Source organism: Homo sapiens, chromosome 2 (genome assembly GCF_000001405.40).
Source record: "Homo sapiens chromosome 2, GRCh38.p14 Primary Assembly".
Lineage (NCBI taxonomy): Eukaryota > Metazoa > Chordata > Mammalia > Primates > Hominidae > Homo > Homo sapiens.
This window is the reverse complement of record NC_000002.12, coordinates 108,265,704-108,288,056: the sequence shown is the minus strand read 5'-3', so window position 1 is coordinate 108,288,056 and position 22,353 is coordinate 108,265,704. Positions and strand designations below refer to the sequence as shown.

Below are 22,353 nucleotides of genomic sequence, written 5' to 3'. Positions count from 1 at the left end.
TTCTTTGCCGACACTTCTTCTTCCTCCTTGTTTCCAAAGGGCTCTTTTTTTCCCAATAAATTGAACTTTCTTTTTCTTTCTTTTTTCTTTTTTTTTTTTTTTTTGAGATGGTGTTTCACTCCTGTTGCCCAGGCTGGAGTGCAATGGTGCAATCTTGGCTCACTGCAACCTCCGCCTCCCGGGTTCAAGCGATTCTCCTGTCTCAGCCTCCTGAGTAGCTGGGACTACAGGCGTGCGCCACCATGCCCAGCTAATTTTTTTTTGGTATTTTTAGTAGAGACGGGGTCTCACCATGTTGGCCAGGCTAGTCTCCAACTCCTGCTCCCAGGTGATCTGCCCGCCTTGACCTCCCAAAGTGCTGGGATTACAGGCATAAGCCACTGCGCCCGGCTGAACTTTATTTTTCTACTTCTGCTCTCTTTCCAGTTCCACTTATCCCAGTGCTGTCAATTTTCAGCCCCATAGGGCTGATTCACAGTTCTTAGTGCAACCTCACATTTTCTCTGCAGTTAAAGTCCCTAAGTCTACTAAAGTGTCTGCCAGTATCGGTGCCATGCTGCGCTGCATGCTGCATCTCCCTGCCTTTGCTGTCTGCATGGGTCACAGTCTCTACAATCCCAGAATTTACAGTTAGTAACCACTGCTAGTATCTGCTTCCTCCACATTTGTGGAGGATGAACTGGGATGTTGCACAATCTTCTAGCAGTCTCCTTATTTCTGGTCTCTTCCCTACTAGTCTCTCATACTTTCAGCATATAAATTAAGCTCAGCTCAGATCAGGCTATCCTTTGGTTGTTTATGGCTCAAATTCTGGGTGCTTCCACTTGGAATTCAAGACCTTCTAAATTCATTAATTCTTATTTTTTATAAGACAGGGTCTCACTCTTTTGCCCAGGCTGGAGTGAAGAGGCATGATCATAGCTCACTGCAGCCTTGACCTCCTGAGCTCAAGTGATCCTCCTACTTCAAGCCTCCTGAATGCCTGGCTCAAGGCCTTCTTTAATATAACACCATCCCCACCATGGGCCCCACACACCAGGTGAACTGAATGACTTACTGTCCCCTGTATGCATCCTATAATTTCCTGCCTCCCTGGTTTACTCCTGTTTCTCCCTGCCAAAAATGCTCTTACTCTTAGCCTGGCACACTGCTGTGCACCTGTAATCCCAGTTACTTGAGTCCAGCCTGGGCAACATAGTGAGATCCCATCTCTAAAAAAATGTTCTTACTCTGTTTCCATAGAGTCAGATTCTTCAGCTTTGAACCCATCTTTTCCTTGAAGCCTTTCCTTAGGTTATAGCTGGAAGCAATCTCTCTGTGAACTACCATATGCTTTTTTAAAAATAAGTTTTATTGAGATCAAATTCACATACTGTGCACTTCACCCAAGTGTACAGTTCAATGTTTTTAGTTGTGCAACCATCATCACACTCAATTTTGGAATATTTTCATCACCCCAAAATGAAACCCCATATTTATTAATAGTCATGCCTAATTCCTCCTACCACCATCTCCAGCTTTAAGAAACCAAAATCTACTTTGTGTCTCTATAGACTTGTCTATTGTGGACATTTTATATAAATTGAATCATACAATGTGTGGTCCATAGGATTAATTTGGCCTTCTCTTACAGCAATTTTCTGTTTTTACTTGAATGAGGAAATTAACTACCCTCCCAGTGTGTCGATTGGGGCCTATCTCTAAGACCACCTGTACCATGTACCCATTCAACTGGATTAATATACTTACTGAATGAATAAACAAATGAATGAAACAAAAACTTTAGTTTTCACCGGGACTGGGACTTGAATGAGGGAACTAAGGTGCAAAATGTAAGGAGACACTCGCTCCAGGGCCGTGCAAGAGAATGAATGCCTCCTTCAATGCTATGCCCTTACCTCACCCTAGTCCCTGCCCTGGTTTATACATAATCCATCCACATGGATTTTTCCCTGATTTGTGATTCATGTACCTCTGGAACTTTCTGAGCTGTTTCTGAGAACCAGGTAAAGTGTGCCTTCTTTGGAGTTAGGGGAATGTCTACACGGCAGCCTCTGTCCCGCTAGAAAGACCAAAGTCACTATTGCCTCCTGGAAGAGTTTTGTGAGGGATCTGATCATGGTTTTCAATTGGGAAAAGTAGCCAAGCTGCTTTGTGCCACTGGCACAAAGTGGAAGGTGCCTGTGTTCCAGCAGGCTGGCTTTGAGGAGCAGCGGGAGCAAAGGTCTCCCCCCGGGACATAGCCATTCCTTCTGGGTGCTATGTCCTACAGCTGCAACTGCTTCAGGCAAGCTTTGTAACACTTGCCTCAGTCACACAGATCCTTTGACCAAGTCCACAAGAGAGCAGATGAGCTCTTTCCTGCAGGTGGTGAGGTACTAGGTGGGCAAACTCTGACTCCTTTGTAACTTCATGGATCTCGCTTATTATCCAGGAAACTGGCTCAGCATTCTCCTGGCTTGTGCTCCCTTGTCGTTTAAATTTTTTTCCTTCTGTTTTTGACCATCCGCAATTCACATAATTACATGTCTCTCAAGCCATTTTTCTTACTTTGCAATGCTCATTGGCTTTAATTCTCCCTTTCTCTTTTCTTGTCTAATTCTTGTCCAGTCACCCAGGGAAAGATGGAACAAGTCTTTTTCTCCCTCACTTTCTACTATCTCCTTTCTTTCATATTCTCCTACTCATCCTTCCATTTGCTGACCCTGGCTCCACTCCAGCCATGGCTGATGGCTGTTGGCATGGGGATGTGGCACATTTGTATTAAGGAAGAGAGAAATCCTGAGACATGATTGACACAAAGTTAGAAATAATGAAGAATCACATTGCATTAGTTTCCCAGGGTTTCTGTACAAATTGGGTGGCTTAAGCTACAGAAACTTCTTGTTTCACAGCTCTGATAAGTAAAAGTCCAAGATCAAGGTGCAGTATGGGCTTCTTCTCGAGCTGTGAGGGAGAATCTGTTTCATGCTTCTTTCCCAGCTTCTGGTGGTTTGCAGGCACCACCCCAATCTCTGTCTTCATTGTGTGTGTCTGTGTCCAAATTTCCCCCTTTTATAAGGATATCAGTCATATTGGATTAAGGCTCACCCTAATGATCTCCTCTGCAAATATCATATTTCCAAATAAAGTCACGTTCACGAGCACTGGGAGTTAAGACTTCAACATTTTTGAGGGGGACTCAATTCAACCCATAACACACTAATATCAGTTTTTGGAGCTTTGAAAAATAGACCCCAAATGTCCAACAACGATAGACTGGATTAAGAAAATGTGGCACATATACACCGTGGAATACTATGCAGCCATAAAAAATGATGAGTTCATGTCCTTTGTAGGGACGTAGATGAAGCTGGAAACCATCATTCTTAGCCAACTATCGCAAGGACAAAAAACCAAACACCGCATGTTCTCACTCATAGGTGGGAATTGAACAATGAGAACACATGGACACAGGAAGAGGAACATCACACTCCAGGGACTGTTGTGGGGTAGCGGGGGCGGAGGGATAGCACTAGGAGATATACCTAATGTTAAATGACGAGTTAATGGGTGCAGCACACCAACATGGCACATGTATACATATGTAACAAATCTGCACATTGTGCACATGTACCCTAAAACTTAAAGTGTAATAATAATAAAAACAAAACAAAACAAAACAAAACAAAAAAATAAAAGTTTCTTTCAAAATTCCATGGTAGTTTTCAACTTCATTTACCATTTTCTCCAGCTAAATTGGCAGTTTGTTTTAAGGCACAGACATTCAAGTAAATACAATAATCTGTTTCATTTAATAGCTAGTTTTGCAGTAGCGTTATCTTTTTACTTATGATTCATTTGGAGTGCCTGGTGTTTCAGCTACCTTGTGAGTTCATTGTAGATATTACTCTAATCTTGAGAACCTAGTACTCATTTCAGCATTGTTTTTTGGGAAAATATCTTTCAAGTTTCAAAAGACTGAAAGTATACTTTGAGCGCAGTCAATTTTTAAATGGGGGCTCCCTGTGCAAGTTTCTGGGTCTATCATATGTGATAATTGAACCCTTCAAAAACATAGAAAAGTAGACCTATGATAGTCCCAACACACTTTAAGGATTTCTCAAATTAATAAATAATGTTTTGTACATATGTTAGGACACTGAATAACTGATCATATAGTGAGCGAAACAGCATATTACAAAATGATGTGTTTGGTGTGATCCTGTCTTTGTAAAAAATGTTTTGTCCATCAACAACTGTATGGAAAAAGATACACCAAAGCCTCTACCCCTGTGTTAGCCATACTCATCTCTTGGGATGAGATGTGTCACTGTGGGTGGGAATGGGGGAAGGATGTGGGAACCACTTGTCGAATGGGATTGCATTCATCCATTTTCATACTGCTAAGAAGAATTAACTGAGACTGGGAAATTTATAAAGAAAAAGAGATTTAATGGACTCACAGTTCCACATTGCTGGGGAGGCCTCACAATCATGGCAGAAGGTAAAGGGGAGCAAAGGCACATCATACATGGCAGCAGGCAAGAGAGCATGTGCAGGGGAACTGCCCTTTATAAAATCACCAGATCTCATGAGACATATTCACTATCACAAGAACAGCATGGGGAAAACCCACCCTCATGATTCAACTACCTGCCACCAGGCAAGCTACAAGGTGAAAGAAGATAGTTGTAACATAGCAGTTGTTAAAAAATTTGTATCCAGATTATATAAAGAACTCCTACAAATCTATGAGAAAAAGACTGATAGCCAAATAGAAAAGTGGGCAAGAGACCTGAACAGGTACTTCATAAATGATGATCTGACCAATAAATACATGAAGATGCCAACATCAGTAATTACCAGAGAAATAAATCAAATCAAGTAATTAAATAAGCTATTTTATTTATGTATTTATTCATTTTTTTAGACACAGTTTCACTCTGTTGCCCAGGCTGGAGTGAAGTGGTGCAATCTTGGCTCACTGCAACCTCCGCCTTCTGGGTTCAAGCAATTCTCCTTCCTCAGCCTCCTGGGTAGCTGGGATTACAGGTGCGCACCACCACACGTGGCTAATTTTTTTGTATTAGGGGTAGAGACGGGGTTTCACCATATTGGCCAGGCTGGTCTTGAACCCTTGGCCTCAAGTGATCTGCTTGCCTCAGCCTCCCAAAGTGCTGGAATTACAGGCATGAGCCACTGTGCCCAGCTCATGCTATTTTAAATAAATTCAATTGAAAATTATATCACAATTCAGTACTACTACCCAAACACCAGAATGTCTAAAATCAGAAGGTCAGGATATGTAAAATTTTAGTGATGATGAGAAACTAGGATCCAATTACAGTTGCTTTTTCTTTCTGTCTTTGTATGTTTTCCACATGTTCTACTCAATTTATGTTCTTCTCCAATCAGAATATAATGATATTTTTCTACAGAGCAGATTCTTGTTTTCTTAATGCTTTCCAGCTCAGCAACTAAAACTAAAAGATGGGCAGAACGGAAGGATGTATCCAAATAAATATGGCGGGTTTTAGACTGGTTCTTTAGAGGGCATGAGGCAATTAACAGACCCAGGTTATAGAGGGTAATTTAAGGGGCAGAATTTTTGACTTCTGAAAAGAACTTCAGCAGGAACAGATTCTGGGTTGCGGCATCTCAGTAGGTAGAGTGTAGATGACTGTGACACTGGGTAGCTCACTGTCCCACTGAACTGTAATAGTCTTAAGGGGCCAATGACAGGGTCTTGGTGGCTGAGCCTATTTCTTCTGTGTCAGTTCTTCCAGGACTTCCTACTCTAATATACTTCTCTCCAGAAATTGTTATAGTTCTTGGTCATCCAAGTACACAGTGGGCTCATACAGTCCAGTATTTTATCTGTAGGTCTACTTACCAGATATAGATGTCAGCCAATCCAAGTGGGTTATTTTGACACTATAGTTATTGTTCTTCAAGGTATCCATGTTTCAGTAAACAAACTTCTGCATTTTATTGTTTAGTGGCTTTTCTTTCAGTCAAAATATCTCTGTGATGATATAATATGATATAATATGTCTTACTATACAACTGGCACAATTCTAGGTATTTCACATTTTTATTACTTCATGTAGACCTCCAGTAACCCTGTGGGGTAGCTGCTATTATTATTCCCCTGTCATGACGACAACGAGGGGTAAATACCTTGCTCCAGATCACAGCTGCAGAGCATGGGTTTGAACCCCAGAAGGCTGCTTCTCTAATTGAGGCTTTTGAATACCACATCACTCTCCATTTTAAGGCCACCTGCTATAGCTTTGTTTCCTGGTGAATGTAGAGTAGTGGGACTGGCACCAACATGAGATGTATTCCTTGCTGAGTCATTTCCCTCAAGTCCAGGCCTCCAGGCTGGATTTCTGGAGGCAAAGGGCCTCAGCTACTTTCTCACAGCAGAGCTTACCCCTGAATCCCCTCCCCAAATACCTGAGGGTGCTCTGACCACATGTTTAAAACAGTTATAACTCACTCTCTCCTCTGTGGAAGTTTGCTCATCCTTGGGGTCTCACATGTTAAGTGTAAAGGGTAATTTGATGGTTGAAGGTGTGGAGCAGTATCACTTTTTGAAGACATTTTTCTTACTAGCCAAGGTCATCTGCAATTTATTCTTGTCTTTTAAAGGGCTAAGAATCCCATGCGCTTATCAAATTAATAGCATATTTTATATTTAATGTTTTAATTCATTTCATTTAAAGGACTAAAAGAAAAGCTCATAAGTGGGAGCTGAACAATGAGAACACATGGACACAGGAGGGGAACATCACCCACCAGGGCCTGTTGCAGGGCGGGCGGCTAGGGGAGAGATGACATTAGGAGAAATACCTAATGTAGATGACTGGTTGATGATGGGTGCAGCAAACCACTATGGCACATGTATACCTACGTAACAAACCTGCATGTACTGCACATGTATTCCAGAACTTAAAGTATTAAAAAAAATACTATTAGTAAGAGATAAAATGGTACAGTTTGAAGGGCCTTTGGTAATCTGATTGAAAACATTAAAATGCATGTGTATTTTTTTCCAAAAAAACAAAAAATAAAGAAAAGTTACAAATACATTCTCTCTCTGTCTCTCTGTCTCTCTGATTACTGACACTCGGCATTTAAGGACAAGTGGTGTATCATCGGGTGAGGAAGTTAGGGTCCAGGTCCTGGTTTTGCTGAAAGGGCCATTAGTCAGGTCTCGCTTTTGGGCTATCTGAGTACCCTGACTCAGGGTTAACTGGCAGCAGGAAGGCCTGATTGCCATTGGCCCCACCATCGAGGTGTGTGGCCACATCCTGGCAGACTGCAGCTCCTATGTTGCTGCAGCCTTCTTCTCCAATAACTCATTTTCTGGGATCACCTTATCAGGATGCTGATTAATGAGTTTACCTTTGATAGCATTGGCCACACCTAGGTACAAAATCAGGGTTGGATTTTTGTCCTCTGGGGATAAGCACACCCAGGGTGAATTCATTCTCCAGAGTGGGAGGAAATCACTGAGTGATCAGCTTCTGTGAAAATCGTGCCACAGAGAAAGGGCCATGTGCTATCCTCAGTTCCTGTGAGATTTAAGTTCCTTCTCATGGGGATGGCCACTAGTTTAAATGTTGATGCTGGCATCACGATACTGTTACAGAAACCAGAAACTTGGAGGAGCCCAGGAATTCTATAAAAACACGCAGAAGGGCACAAAGGACTCTCCCCTCAGAAATAAAAGAGAAGGCATACAGAGATACTGAGATTTCCATAGTAGATTAGCAAGGATCACCATTCATTCATTCACTCACTCATTCATTCATTCATTCATTCACCATTCATTTATCACCAGGCATTGTGTTAGGAACTGAGAAAACAAAGAAATAAGAGCTTTATATGATTTATGGAATTTAGCACTTGTGGATTTTGCTTCTTCCCTCTTTATTTCCTTATAGTGATGAGATACAAAAATCTCAAAATGAAAGGGTCTGCAACCCCAGTCTTAGGGGCAGGGGGAGGTGGAATGCTGGGCCATGCTTCCCTTTGTGGAGTCCCCAGCAGAGAGAGAGACAGGAGGTTCCAGCAGGAGCTGACGGCTCTGGGGAAGAGAAAGAGACTGACGGAGTTTTGGGGGCCTGTGAGAAGAAAGAATACGGTACTGGAGCAAGCGTGCTCTCCTTGTTCTCCATCAAACCGCCCCCCAAGTAGCCAACAGAGATACCTTCTAAACATCTCAGGGGCTTCACCCTGTGCATAGCCGGGGTCAGCAAGCTTTCTTTGTAAGAGGCCAAGTGGTGACTGCTTCACGCTTTGCCAATCACATGATGTCAGTTGCAGCTACTCAAGTCGGCCGCTGATTTGTGACAGCAGCCACAGACAACATTACACAGATAGTTGGGGCTGTGTTCCAATAAAACTTTATTTACAAAAACAGGCAGTGAGCTTTGGCTTGCCCACTCTGCTGTTTAGAATAAAGAGGAAACTCTTGAATTTGACGTAAAAGTCACTTTCAGTAAACTTTTTCCTCCCTGCACCTCTGGCTTCTTTGTGGTCATTCTCCTCATGTGAGTTGCCAGTGTCATCTTGAAGGCTCCATATTGCTGACCTTTTTTTCTTTTCATAACAACTTTATTTAGGTGTAGTTCACACGCCATACAATTCGCCCACTCACTTAAAATGCACAATTCAGTGGTTTTTTTTGCCATATTCACAGAGTTGTGCCACAATCAATTTCAGAACATTTTCATTGCCCTCCCAAAATGCGGTGCCCTTTAGATGCCATCCTCCAGCCTCCTGCTCCCAGCCCTCAGCAATCTCAATTCTACTTTATATCCCTGTAGATTTCCCTAGTCTGGACATCTCATATAAATGGAATCATACAGTGTGTGATCTTTTGTGACAGGCTTCTTTCATAATATTCTCAATCTTAACATTTTAATTTCATTATCTTTTCAGGGTTCACCCATGTTGTAGCCTGTCTCGCACTTCATTCCCTTTTATGGCTGAATAGTATTCTGTTCTAGGAATATACTACATTTTGTGTATCCTTCCATCGGTTGATGGACATTTGGGTTGTTTCCTTCTTTTAGCTTTGGGAGTAATGCCACTATAGACATTTATGTATAAGTTTTTGTGTGGACAGAGCTTTTCATTTCTTTTGAGTATATACCTAGAAGTGGAATTACTGGGTCAAATGGTGACTCTATTGAACTTTTTGGGCAACTGCCAGACTATTTTCCCAAGTAGTTGCATCATTTTACATTCCTACTCCCGGTGTATGAGGGATAAAATTTCTCTACATCCTCCACCAACTGTTGTTATCATCTTCCTTTTTTATCATAGCCATCCCAATGAGTAGGAAGTGGCATCTCATGGTGGTTTTAATTTGCCTTCCTTAATGACTCATTAAGCTGAGTATCTTTTGGCCATTTTTATATCTTCTTTGGAAAAAATGTCTATTCAAGTTCTTTGCCCATTATAAAAATCATTTTTAGCAGTTATATAATTATATGTATGTTTAAGCCAGAGCATTTAATGTGGAAAATTTTTAACTGTTATGGGCTAGCAACATCATAGTACACAGTTTATAAGGAGGAAGGGGGTACAACAAAACTTTCAACTAAGAGCTAAGTATTTAAAAACAAAATAATATTATAAAAATTCAAAATTCCTTTATGAGAGTTCAACACGACAAGCTAAATGTACTTTTTGAATGATTCTGTAATCAAGGCAGTTTATTCTTTTAAAATATCATGAAATGGACAAATGCTCATTAACAGATGTAGCTGCCCTCAAGATTTCAATCTTTTCAATCTCGGTGGCTTTCTTTAAATTAAAATTCATGAAGTGTACAATTAAAATGTGTCCAAAAACTGAATCTGCTACTCTAACAGATGTCCACGCTCAACACTTAGTAGTTTATCTGACCAAATTGGATTTTGTTAGGGGAAGAAAATGAACCACTTGTAAAGCATTTAGTTTGAAATATTTTTCTTAGAAATAAAAATTTATGGAGGAAAAGTTATTTATCATAAGGAAAATAAAGTAAAACACTAGAATGAGCAAACATTTTCAAAGAACAAGCACCACAAAGGTCACTTACATTGAATTTTTAATATTTATCAATGCATATTTCTCCAACCAGTCTACTTCATCAAATTTGGAAACATTTTCTGAATCACTAGATTCCACAGCAGTATGGCAAGACAGGACGGTGGCAACATCATTTTCAATGTCTTCATGGTGAGCTCTCTTTACACCCTGCTCTTCTACGTTGTGTAACCGAACACCTTTCCTTACTGCTTCCAGAAGTACACTCTTGGCAACCCAGACTATAGGTACAGCTGGGAGATGACACTTCGGCTCATAAGCAGACGTAACTTGTGTTGGAGGAGTTGGGGTCATTCATGGAGCTTGGGGACTTGGGACAGCAGTAGGTGAAGTTGGATGTAGCCAGAGAGAGGATGAGCAGGACTGCAACTGTGACAGATGATGATGGTTGAATACCAAGTGGAGCCAGAGAAGGTAGTGTGGGGCTGGAGGTAGCCTTGGATGTCTTGTGGGATGGATGAACTGGGACAGCACTAATTCCTGGCAGAGAGGGCTGTGTAGAGGAGCAGCTGGAAGAGGAGCTGGGTGAAGATGGCTGGGGAAAATGTGGAAAGGCGCTGGAGGAGGTGGTACTGCTGGAGTTCCCAAGGCAGTGTTTGGAGGTGGAGGCAGAGGTGGGAGAGGTCTTGGTGGAGAGCAGTTGAAGTCACTGAAGCTCCTAATGAAGACATTGACAGGGGAGATGGAAGGGGTGGTGGAGGAGGTGTGGGGATGGAGCTCACAGAGACACGTGTATTGCCTATAGCTGGTGACTGAGCATGATTTTCTATCAAACCTGCAGCAGCATTTACACAGGTGGGCATGGGTTTTGCACCTCTTCTTCCTTGAATTAGTGGAGGTGGAGGTGGTTCATGTGGCCTGACTGAGACCTTTTACTCAGCTCTCATCTGAGTCTCAGTTGTTAGACTAAATGACAAGGCAGAAAGTGAAAAAATCCATCCACATGATCCACATGCTTTGGGGGCTTTGCTGCAAAGAGATTGGCCTCATCTTCAGCCAGCTCCAGACTTGGGCCAGCTTCTGCCATCCTCTGTCTGGCTCATGAAGACAATCTAGATTTTTCTAGCTTCTGCTTCCTCCTTTCCTTCCTCTGATCTTCTATATGTTGCAACATTTTTTCTTTCATAAATCAAAGAAATGTGAAGGATTGATATAAGTTTGCCCATTTAAAAATTGGGCTGTTTGTCCATTTTTATTTTGAGTTGTAGGAGTTCTTTTTATATTTTATGCTGAAGTCCCTTGTCAGATATAGGATTAATGAATATTTTCTTCTATTCTATAGTTTTTTTTTTTTTAATTTTCTTGATAGTATCTTTTGAAGTCCAAAGTCTGTAATTTTGATGAAGCTCCATTTACTTATTTTTAATTTTTGTTTGTGCTTTCTTTGCGGATGGGCCTCAGTACACCACCAAAATTTATAATCTTTCTTCCAGCCTTCCTCAAAAGGACTTATTATCTTTTACCAGGGTGACTATGCACTGAAGAAAAGAAAATAATCAGACCCTTGGGGCACTACTAAACACATGGGCCCTGAACTGACACTAAGTTCCAGAGATCCAAAATTCCGCTGTGGCCCACCACAGTCAGAGTAGTGGCTTATGGCGGTCAGGTGAGCCATGGAATTCAGCTCAGGTCCTTCTCACAGTGGGTCCGGTGTGTTCCTGAACCCATCCTGTGGGTATTTCCCCAGTTCTGAAATGTACAATTGGCCTAGACATACTTAGCAGCTGGCAGAATTCTCACATTATTCCCTTGACTTGTGGAGTGAGGGCTATTAAGGTGGAAAAAGCCAAGTGGCAGCCACTAGATCTGCCTTTACCTAGGAAAATGGTAAATCAAAAGCAAATCCACATTTCTAGAGAGGCTGCAGAGATTAGTGCCACCATCAAGGATGTGAGAGATGCAGGGATGATGACTCCCACCACATCCCCATGCAACTCTCCTGTTTGGCCCGTGCAGAAGACAGATGGATCTTTTTTGTTTGTTTGTTTGTTTGTTTGTTTTTTAATTTTATTATTATTATACTTTAAGTTTTAGGGTACATGTGCACAACGTGCAGGTTACATATGTATACATGTGCCATGTTGGTGTGCCGCACCCATTAACTCATCATTTAGCATTAGGTATATCTCCTAATGCTATCCCTCCCCCCTCCTCCCACCCCACAACAGTCCCTGGTGTGTGATGTTCCCCTTCCTGTGTCCATGTGTTCTCACTGTTCAATTTCCACCTATGAGTGAGAACATACGGCGTTTGGTTTTTTGTCCTTGCGATAGTTTGCTGAGAATGATGGTTTCCAGTTTCATCCATGTCCCTACAAAGGACATGAACTCATCATTTTTTATGGCTGCATAGTATTCCATGGTGTATATGTGCCACATTTTCTTAATCCAGTCTATTGTTGTTGGACATTTAGGTTGGTTCCAAGTCTTTGCTATTGTGAATAGTGCTGCAATAAACATACGTGTTCTTTATGGCAGCATGATTTATAATCCTTTGGGTATATACCCGGTAATGGGATGGCTGGGTCAAATGGTATTTCTAGTTCTAGGTCCCTGAGGAATCGCCACACTGACTTCCGCAATGGTTGAACTAGTTTACAGTCCCACCAACAGTGTAAAAGTGTTCCTATTTCTCCACATCCTCTCCAGCACCTGTTGTTTCCTGACTTTTTAATGATCACCATTCTAACTGGTGACAGATGGATCTTAAAGAATGACAGTGAATTATCATAAGTTTAACCAGGTGGTGACTCTAATTACAGCTGCTACATCAGATGTGGTTTCATTGCTTGAGGAAATTAACACATCCCTGAGAACTGACATGTAGCTATTTATCTGGTAAATTCATTTTTCTCCATGCCTGTCCATAACGCTCATAAGAAACAGTTTGCTTTTAGCTGGCAAGGCCAGCAACATGCCTCACTATTGTTCCTTGGGGTTCTATCAGTTCTCCAGCTCTAAGTCATAATTTAGTTCACAGAGATGTGATTACCTTTCTCTTCCATGAGATATTACTCTGTTCTGTTTATTGATGACATTATGCTGATTGGACCTAGTGAGCGAGAAGTAGCAACCACTCTGGGCTTGTTGGTACAACATTTGAGTGTCAGAGGGTAGGAAATAAATTTGTCTAAAATTCAGGGGCCTTCTGCCTCCATGAAATTTCTAAGGGTCCAGTGGTATGGGGCATGTTGAAATATCCCTTCTCATGTGAAGGGTAAGTTCTTGCATCTTTTTCCTTCTACTACCAAAAATGAGGCACAATGCTCAGTAGGCCTCTTGGGAATTTGGAGGCATCATCTTCCTCTTTGTGTGTCTTATATCAGCTCATTTGCTGAGCAATCTGAAAATTCATTATGTTTAAGAAGGACCCAGAAGAGCAGAAGTCTCTGCAATAGGTCCAGGCTGCTGCACAAGCTGTTCTGCCGTTTGTGCCACATGACCCAGCAGATCCAGTGGTGCTTGAGGTGTCGATGGCAGACAGGGATGCTGTGTGGAATCTTTGGCAGGTGAATCACAGCACAGGTCTTTAAGATTTTGGAGCAAGCCAATGCTATCTTCCACAGATAACTACTTTCCTTTTGAGAGACAGCTCTTGGCCTGCTACTGGGCCTAGGTAGAGACTGAATGCTTAACCATGGACACCCAAGTTACCATATGACCTGAGTGCCTATCATGAACTATCATCTAATCCACAAAGCCATAAACTTGGGTGTGCAGAGCAGCAACTCACCATGAAATGGAAGTGATGTACACATGATTGGGCCTGAGCAGGCTCTAAAGGCACAAGTAAGTTACATGAAGAAGCGTCCCAAATGTCCATGGCCCCCATGCTCCACAATAGAAACAAGCAAGAGGATGTCTGGAATCCAGGAGATAACTTTGAGTGTTTGTATACCATGCCTTGTGATTAAGTTCAATGGAAAACTACAGCTGAATTCGGGCAGGACTACTTATGGTCCAGATCCTTCAGGATGAAGGCTTGGGTAACCTCACCAGGTAATGGTGCATGACTAGCTGAGGTGTTTGTAGGAAGCACAGGAATATGGAATGGGTAATGGAAGAAGGTAGTTATAAGTATCAGGTATGACCACACAACCGTTTATAGAAATGAGGGCTGTAATTGTCATGAGTATTTTTTGTTATGAATGTGTTATATAAATGTATATTAAGCAAAGTCCTTGTTTTCTTCCTTCTCTCATCCCCATCAAGTAATAGAAGATGTATTGCTTTTAAATTATAATGCTTAAGTATTATTACTTTTATATCATAGTATTTAAGTTACTGGACATCAAGGGGAAAGATACCCAATAAAATACTGATTTTCATAAACAGCAATTGGAAATTAGAAATTACAAGGAATAAATGGTTAAGGAGGAGAAGGAGCAGCAGCACGAAGAGGGTCATTTTAAGCATTTCCAACACTGAGGTACTATGGAGGGATATTACTTGTGGAGGTGGGAAGATCTGCTAGGCAGTTGAAAACATAATAATCCTGCAGAATATTTGGAACTGAAGAATTAGATGTGGGAGCAAATCACATAGAGGTTCCATTTGGAGCTTTTGAAGGGAGAAGATGATCTATTCACATTTGCATTTCAAGTTCATAGGCTCTAGGTTGGAAGGATCCTTACAGTGTTTTCTTATTTCCATCTCCCACTAAGTTGGAAGGTTATAATATTCCATCTCTCTCTCTCTCTCTTTCTTTCTTTTTTTTTTTTAACAAAGAACCCCCATCTCTCTTTTTTTTTTTTTTTTTGAGATGGAGTCTCGCTCTGTCACCCAGGCTGGAGTGCAGTGGCGCTATTTCGGCTCACTGCAACCTCTGCCTCCCAGGTTCAAGCGATTCTCCTGCCTCAGCCTCCCAAGTAGCTGGGATTACAGGTGCCCACCAACACAGACAGCTCATTTTTGTATGTTTCTTTTAGTAGAGATGGAGTTTCACCATGTTGACCATTGCTGGTCTTGAACTCCTGGCCTCAAGTGATCTGCTTGCCTCGGCCTCCCAAAGTGCTAGGATTACGGGCATGAACCACTGCGCCCAGCCTGAACCCCCATCTCTTAATCAGAAATATATTTAAGGTGAGATGCCTTTGGATGGGTTGACAGAGGTATAAGTGTGCTTGAGAAGCATGAGTCAGGTCCCTGTGCCTGAGAAATGAAAGACTTCCAGTTCTATAGATTGTCGACTAACATTTATGACAACATTCCGGAAACAAGGCTGAAATTCAAGGCTTTTGATCACAGACCTTCACAGGCACACTATGTAAAGCCTTGTGTTGAGATTGCTTTATTATTTCCAAGTAGTTTTTCAGCTTTAGATCGACTTTGGCATAATCGCACACCGGGCTGAATGTCCAAAGGCTTCTTGCCAAGGCAAACGCTTAGTCTTCTAAGGAGCATCCTGCTGGGAGCTGATTGCCAGGCAGACATCTCTGTGAAATCCCATGGCGTGCAGGCATCAAGGTGTACTTACATAGCTAAATACACTGAAAAACAGTTCTTCATCTGTCTGTATATATCTATATCTATATCTATTATCTATCTATCATCGATATATCACAATCAGAGATTTCATTATAATATTCAGTGTCAGGTGGAAAAGTATAGCAGTTTTATATTTTCAGCTTCCTTTCAGAAATTAAGTAAAGATCCATTTAATATACCCAAAAAACAAACATTATTTTGTGCCTTTAGTTTAAGTGGAGCAAGTCTGTCTATGAGTTTTGTCATCATCATAGCTCAGTGTTCAGGCATTTTCCCAGGAATCCTTTCTGGTTGTTTACTTTTCCTGTTCTTCCTGTTCCTTTCGCATCCCCTGTGCCTTCAGTGTTGTGTTTTAGTCATGAGACATGCCTCGGGCCCTCCCCAGAGTGTCTTTTCCAGCTTCCGGGTCTCAGGTTCCATCTTTGTTTCTGTTTCGTTTCGTTTCGTTTCTGTGACTCTGACCCCGGGTCTCTCAATTACAGAAGGGCCTGCTGCCCTGAGTAGGAAACACCCTGTCCTAGGACCCTCCTGGCTTGGACCCATACCCCCTGCCCCATGGAAAGGGGCTAGGATGTTGCATCTCACATTCTAGGGTTTCCTACCTAAGTAGCCATTCTCCATATCAGGGCAGCAGGGTGTGGTGGGATAAGAAGGGGGACTTCCCTTAAGGCTGAAGGCCCTCCAGCTTGGCTGGCAAAGACCAGGGCAGAGCTCACAGATCAATGCTGAGCTGGCAGATCAATCAATCCCACATGTGCCACCACTGTAGTTCATCACCATCCTCAGCCCCCATGTGCACCCTGTATTCAACAACTACCAGCTCCAACTTCAGAAGGAAGCTTTTCAACCATACAGAGCTCAAGGTTCTTGGTGCACTCACACAGTGCTGGGTTTTTCATGTGGGATTCAAAAGTGGGTTCATCCTCACTGATGCTCCCTGGTAATGAAGCTGAGTTCCTAGTGCTCCGCCCAGATGCCCTCGGATCCCCACTGCCAGTCCTCACCTCATCCCCTACCCTTTCTTCTATGAGCCTGGACCTTGGGGACTGAGTGGCTTTGCCCAGAGGCTTAGAGAGCACAGGCTCAGAGAACACAGGTATGGGAGCTGACATTGCCCTGGGGCCTCTCAGAGGGAGTGATTATGTCATGCCCCAGGAAAGCCCAGTTCCCTGACTCAAGTAGGGACAATCCCTGCATTGCCCCCTGAGGATCAGGCTGCACCTAGGACTATGCTAAGTCCATACCCTTGCTTGGCTACTTCCTCTCCAGCCTGCCTCACCACACACTGATAATTCTCTCCTAGGAATACTTTTTAAATAAATCCCTTGCACAGAAACCCTCATACCAGGATCTGCTTCTGGCAACCCAAACCCAAATACAGGATGGCACAGGTTGCTTGCACACTGTGGGATTTCACAATGATGTCTGCCTGGCACACCAGCCCCTAGCAGGATGCTCCTAAGGTTTTTCCTGTGCGAACAACCTTTGGACATTCAGCCTGGCGTGTAGTTAGGCCAAAGTGCTGTGACTGATTGCAGTTTCCTGCTTGATTACAACCAGGGTGTAATCAAGGTCCCTGGGACCTCAAGGGGCATGACTGGAGATGTTTTGTGCTAGTTTCTTGGGCTCATGTCCACGTGAGTTGCTAGGGAGGGCATCTTAACTTTTATATGGCTGTTGCAACTGATTCTACACTGAGTCTTCTGTCGGAAGCCGGCCTGGTCTGCCTCTCCCTGCACCCGTATTGTTCCCTAATTTCCATGGTGGGTACTGGTGGTGGTCGGGGCTGTTCTCCATCAGTTTGGAGCTTAGGCGGGCAGCCAGTGGCCTTCTGGTTAGGGACATGCTGGACTCTGGAGTTTTAAACCTAGGGGTGGACCAAACCCTAGTCAGTTAGTCCACCTTTTTCTGCTAAACTTTGTACCTAGGTCTGAACTCTGTGAGTGGACATCACTAATGACTGCTCCTGGAGGCCCAATGACCCAAAAGCCCACAGCAATCCAGCTGCACACTGGGGATGACCTAACAGGTGGAGAGCTGTCCATCAGCCATGCATAACCCTTCTTGATCCTTATCTTCTGGCTGGAGGCCATGTTCAGGTCACCATCTGAAAACTGCACCTGCACTTACTTTATGGTCCTTGCCATCATGGCCCACATATACTATTGGTCTCTTCTATGCCCACCTGCTTATTCCTGGGACCACAATATGTACACCACTTCCCAGGAGGTGCTTCCAGATGGGAAGGTGGGTGGAGGAAAAACTCCTGCCTCGGGAGCATGAGAGCTGTGGTGGCCTGGGACCTCCCTTGGCTTGGAGAGCTGGGCATACTTCCCCTACAAGTTTCAAAGGGAGGCAGGCCCTTTACCATGCACAGGCTCCTGTTGTTGGGAGTGCTCCTCAGAACTCTTTGGGAAGAAGGCTGGGAGGGTCTGATGATGTCTGGATTTCTGGGACTCCCATGCAATCCTCACCCAGGACCCCTATCTTCACAAATACGGATCTTCAGGAGCCTTCTCATTCATCTACATAAGATCCAGCGCAAGCTGACCCAGAAACTCAGCTTGAGCCGACTGAGGTGGGCTGCCTTTGTCAGCTGGGGTAGAAGGAAGCTCGGACACGTTTTCTGTGTCCGATGAACTCAACCCATGCTCTGCTCTGACTGGACTTTCTTCACTTAAGCCCAGTTAAGGCACAGACGAGTCAATTCAGGGATGGTCAACCAAGGCAGATAGAGATTTACAGAAAGTACTAAAATCCCTGAGTTCTGCTTGGTAGGGTTTGAAGGAAGTTGGTGTGACACATTCCATGGGGTTTCCAAGAACCAGCTGCCAATGTAAGGCAATTCCAGGACCTGGCCATATGAGTGTGTCCCCAAGAAGATGAGGTGGCCCTGGGCACATGCAGAGAGACTGCATGGGGAGGCAGATTTCCCAGAGGACTACCAAGAATCTCATGAAAGGCAAGGGCTCTCTTTCTTGCTTTGCTTATGGTGAATATGGAACATGAATGGTTGATTGTTCTTATGAAGAGGCTGCAGAATGAGGAAAGTGGAAGCCACAGTGTGCTTGGGAGTCACTGAAATGCAGAGACTGATCATGGGTCAGGGCCAGCTGGATGGAGGGCGAGAAGGAAGAGAATGGGCACCACTGAGGAGGGATGGCCACTTCACCTCTACTCTCCCAATGTGCCCCCTGGGTGGAAGGTGGTGCCCAGAGACTGACAGGAGCAATGACCCTGAGGGAGACAGCTCTGCTGGAAACAGTCCACATTGCCAACAAAGACGCAGCATTCCAGGGCGGCCTGCAGACAGCTGAGGACCCCTGATTATCTTAGACCCATCGGAGGGTCCCTGACTCCTGCTGCCCTCAGCCCAATGCTTAGCCCTCCTTGATGAAAAGGGGTCTCCGAGGAGCACTGCCTCTTCTTCCTGAGGAGGGATTCTGAAGCACCCAGTGAGAGGCAAGACATTACGATTTGCTGAGATAGCCCAGATGTACAGACTGGAGAAAGCACTGCTGATGGGGCAGGCTGTGAGGGAAGAGAGGACTCCAGGGCCTGGATGTTTGTGCCAGCCATGCATGGTGGTCTTGCGGTATGCTCTGTTCCAGCTACAGCTGGGCTTAGGGTGTTTGTCAATATTTATTCATTTGTAAAACCAAATTTGGCTTTACTCAATTTTTGTTCCCTTCTCTCCTCCTCTGCCCTCCCTCCATAGAGCAGGTGTGCAACAGTGATGCCTGTATGGCCATGGTGCCTACAGCAGGGCTGGGTTGATGGTCGTCCAGGGCCTCTGCCTACAGAACAGGGCTGCTGGGGGGTTCTCCTAAACTAGGGATCAGAAAACAGTTTCTGTGAAGGACCAGATAGGAACTATTTTAGGCTTTGTGGGTCACATATTCTTCTTTGTCATTTCTGTTGTTTTTATAACAACTGTTTAAAAGTATACAAACAGTTTATTCATAGCTCCCAGCCATACTAAATGGCTGGATTTTTTGGCCCACAGGCCACCTCTGTGGCCTAGACCAACCTCTTTGAGCCTAGACCAACAACCCATGAATGTGGAGAGAGAAAGGGCACTGATAATGGAGAAGGGCTGGGAGGGTCCTCCACTGTTGAAAAACCTCTTTGGAGAAGACTGATCGTTAGATTCCTGTAGTATGAACTCTAATTCTACCAAGCTGAAAAAAATAGAATAGGAACTGTTAAGAGGTAAACTCTGACACGTTAACATTTTAAAGAGTTTATTTGAGCAGGCAATGATTCATGAATCTGGCGCTCCAAGCCAGAAAGATTCAGGGCTCCTTTGAAGGAGCGTGTGGGGAGACTTTTATAGAGTGAATGGGAAGCAGGATAGGGGAAATGTTTAATTGGTCAAAGTGGAGCAATAATTGGAAAGTCCCTAGTCCAGGGTTGATTGGTGGTTTCTGACTGGTTGAGTCCTCAGTGTAACTGAGTTGGGTCTTGGTTTGCTTCCATAGGAATCTGGGACACTGGAGGCACTAAGGTCTGATGGCCTCCCAGGTGATCATTTTAACAACACCTAGAAAGGGTTAAGGATTTTCATTCCAGTCCCTAACCCTCCTCTCTGTCATTTGTTTCCTGGCATTCCCCATACTTGAGTTTATATGGACTAAAACTTGCCTCAGATGTTTTGGAGTTCCCTTAACAGCAAAACCCACACTAGATTATTAGGGGTAAAATGAGGAAAAGGGCAGTGGAACACAGTCTTTGGGGCTGCATAGGGAGCTCGGTCCACTCCACTTAGGGCAGGCCCTGTGGGAGATGTGATGAGGTCGGGCAGGATGCAGGGGGTGTCAGCCTGGTACCTACAGGCCAAAGAAATCCCAGAAGCCTTGTGATGGGGCTGGAGGGCAGAGCTGGGCTTTACTCAGCTTTGGGGAAGGGCAGTTTCTGCTGTGGGCTCCCTCCTGCTCACAGACATCTCCAAGACGCTCTAATGCAGAGACCCTCTCTGGGAAGAGCTGCCTTTCTAAGTGGATTCCCATCAGGCTTTGTTGTTTTTCTTTTTCTAAATAGGCCATTAGAAAAATTTTGGAATTTCTTATGTAATCAGAGAGAATCCATAGAACACCCAAGCTGTTCCAAGTGCTAAGAGGAAGTGAGTAGTGCAAGATGAAGTCTGCAGAGAAGACTTTCGCAATCTGCGTGACTCCTGCAGTGTGTGGGGAGCTAGCCAGGGGCCGGGGGATCCTGATGAACCGTGTCTGCGTGACCTGTTTGTGGGGGCCATCCCTCTCTCCCTGGCTCTTAGTGTTCTCATCTGAAAAGCAAGATTGTTGAATGATGTGATTTTTCTGACTCTTGTAATTCTCACCCTAAAATTTTATGAGTCTAACTTCCCATTGCTGCTTTTTATTTTCTTCTAAGTGAAAAGTTCCAAAGTAAATTGAACATTTACAATTTGATCTTCTATGACTGTGGTATATTTAGGAGTCTCTCTCTCTCTCTCTCTGTAAGTATGTAATAAGTGATCAGAACACAAGATTATCTAGGATACATGGATGGTCATCTTCATCGTGTTTATTTTATGCAGCTGGACCAAAGATATTTTAAGATTGAATTAAACCATTAATTCTTCTTCATAGTACTTTTAGCATTGTTTAAAAGGACATAGCAGAGCTTTGTAAAAGAGGAGTCTAGAAGTATTTTCTGTGGCTGAAATTTTTAGAGAATATAAGAATGGGATATATTTTTACAATTAAATTAAAAAAATTAGTTTATAAAGGGAGAAAAGCAAGTTTTGCCTAGTCGTAAACTCTAGACCTATTGCCTATATTCTGATCAATACTGCCCATATATCCAGTTTCTATCACAGTCACAAAGGGAGTCACTATGTGATTATGTGCTTGCTATCTAAATTGTTAGGCAGCTCTTAGAACATGAACCCAAGACATTTGGTGTGGGTATTCCTGATAAAAATTTATTTGCTATTGAATCATGCTGGTTCAGTTCACCATATCTTTCCTCAGTGCAGGCCGGAACTCTGCATAAATACTATACTGGGATATTTGTCATGTGGTTAATGATTTGCATGCTTACCCTAGAGAGGGAAAGATGAAAGAATGCAAAGGGGTATACTTTGTTACCGGGTGGAGTAGATATTTTTTTGTGTTGTATGGTTTAATGATAAGTTAACCACCTATCCCACAAAATGTACCTTCCTGACATTAAAAGAATAATGATACATGGATCGTTGTATAGCTTGTATAAAATGATGGCAGATATTTTCTTGGTACAGGTTTTAACAAAAAGAAGGAAAAGAACATAATCATTAGTGTAGCTGAAGAACTTGGCAATGCTGACAGTTTTGCTAAGAGCCCTTTAAAAAAAAGTATAAAAAACGATTTTCCACAGAGATGTGAAATTTAAGCTTTTCTTAACGTCCATGAGTTACCAAATATTTTATTTTATTTTTCCCTTGAGCTCACTGAAGACTTCCTCTCTCTCTCAGAAGTCCATCTGAAAGATAAAATCTTTCTCTGCTTTCCAGCCTTGTGTTGGCCACAGAAGTAGGCTGAGTTTCTTGTTCATCTTGTGTTCCTTATCGCTCTCCTGTGGCCTTTCTCTTTGGTTTTGGGACCATTTCAGCTTGAAGCCACCTGAGCCAGACCCAGCTCACAGCATTCCATCCTTCATGCCACCCCCTGCACCTCCTAATCTAATATCTTCAAGAGTAGGACTATCCTCTGCCTCTCATTCCTGACCTTTAAAAATAAAAACCAGTTCCCCCACACATTATCCTTAGTGCCCA

General features: G+C 43.2%; 1 pseudogene; it reads right to left on the bottom strand.

Annotated features, from left to right (window-relative positions):
- WASF1P1 (WASF1 pseudogene 1) lies at nucleotides 10,114-11,413 on the bottom strand (annotated as a pseudogene).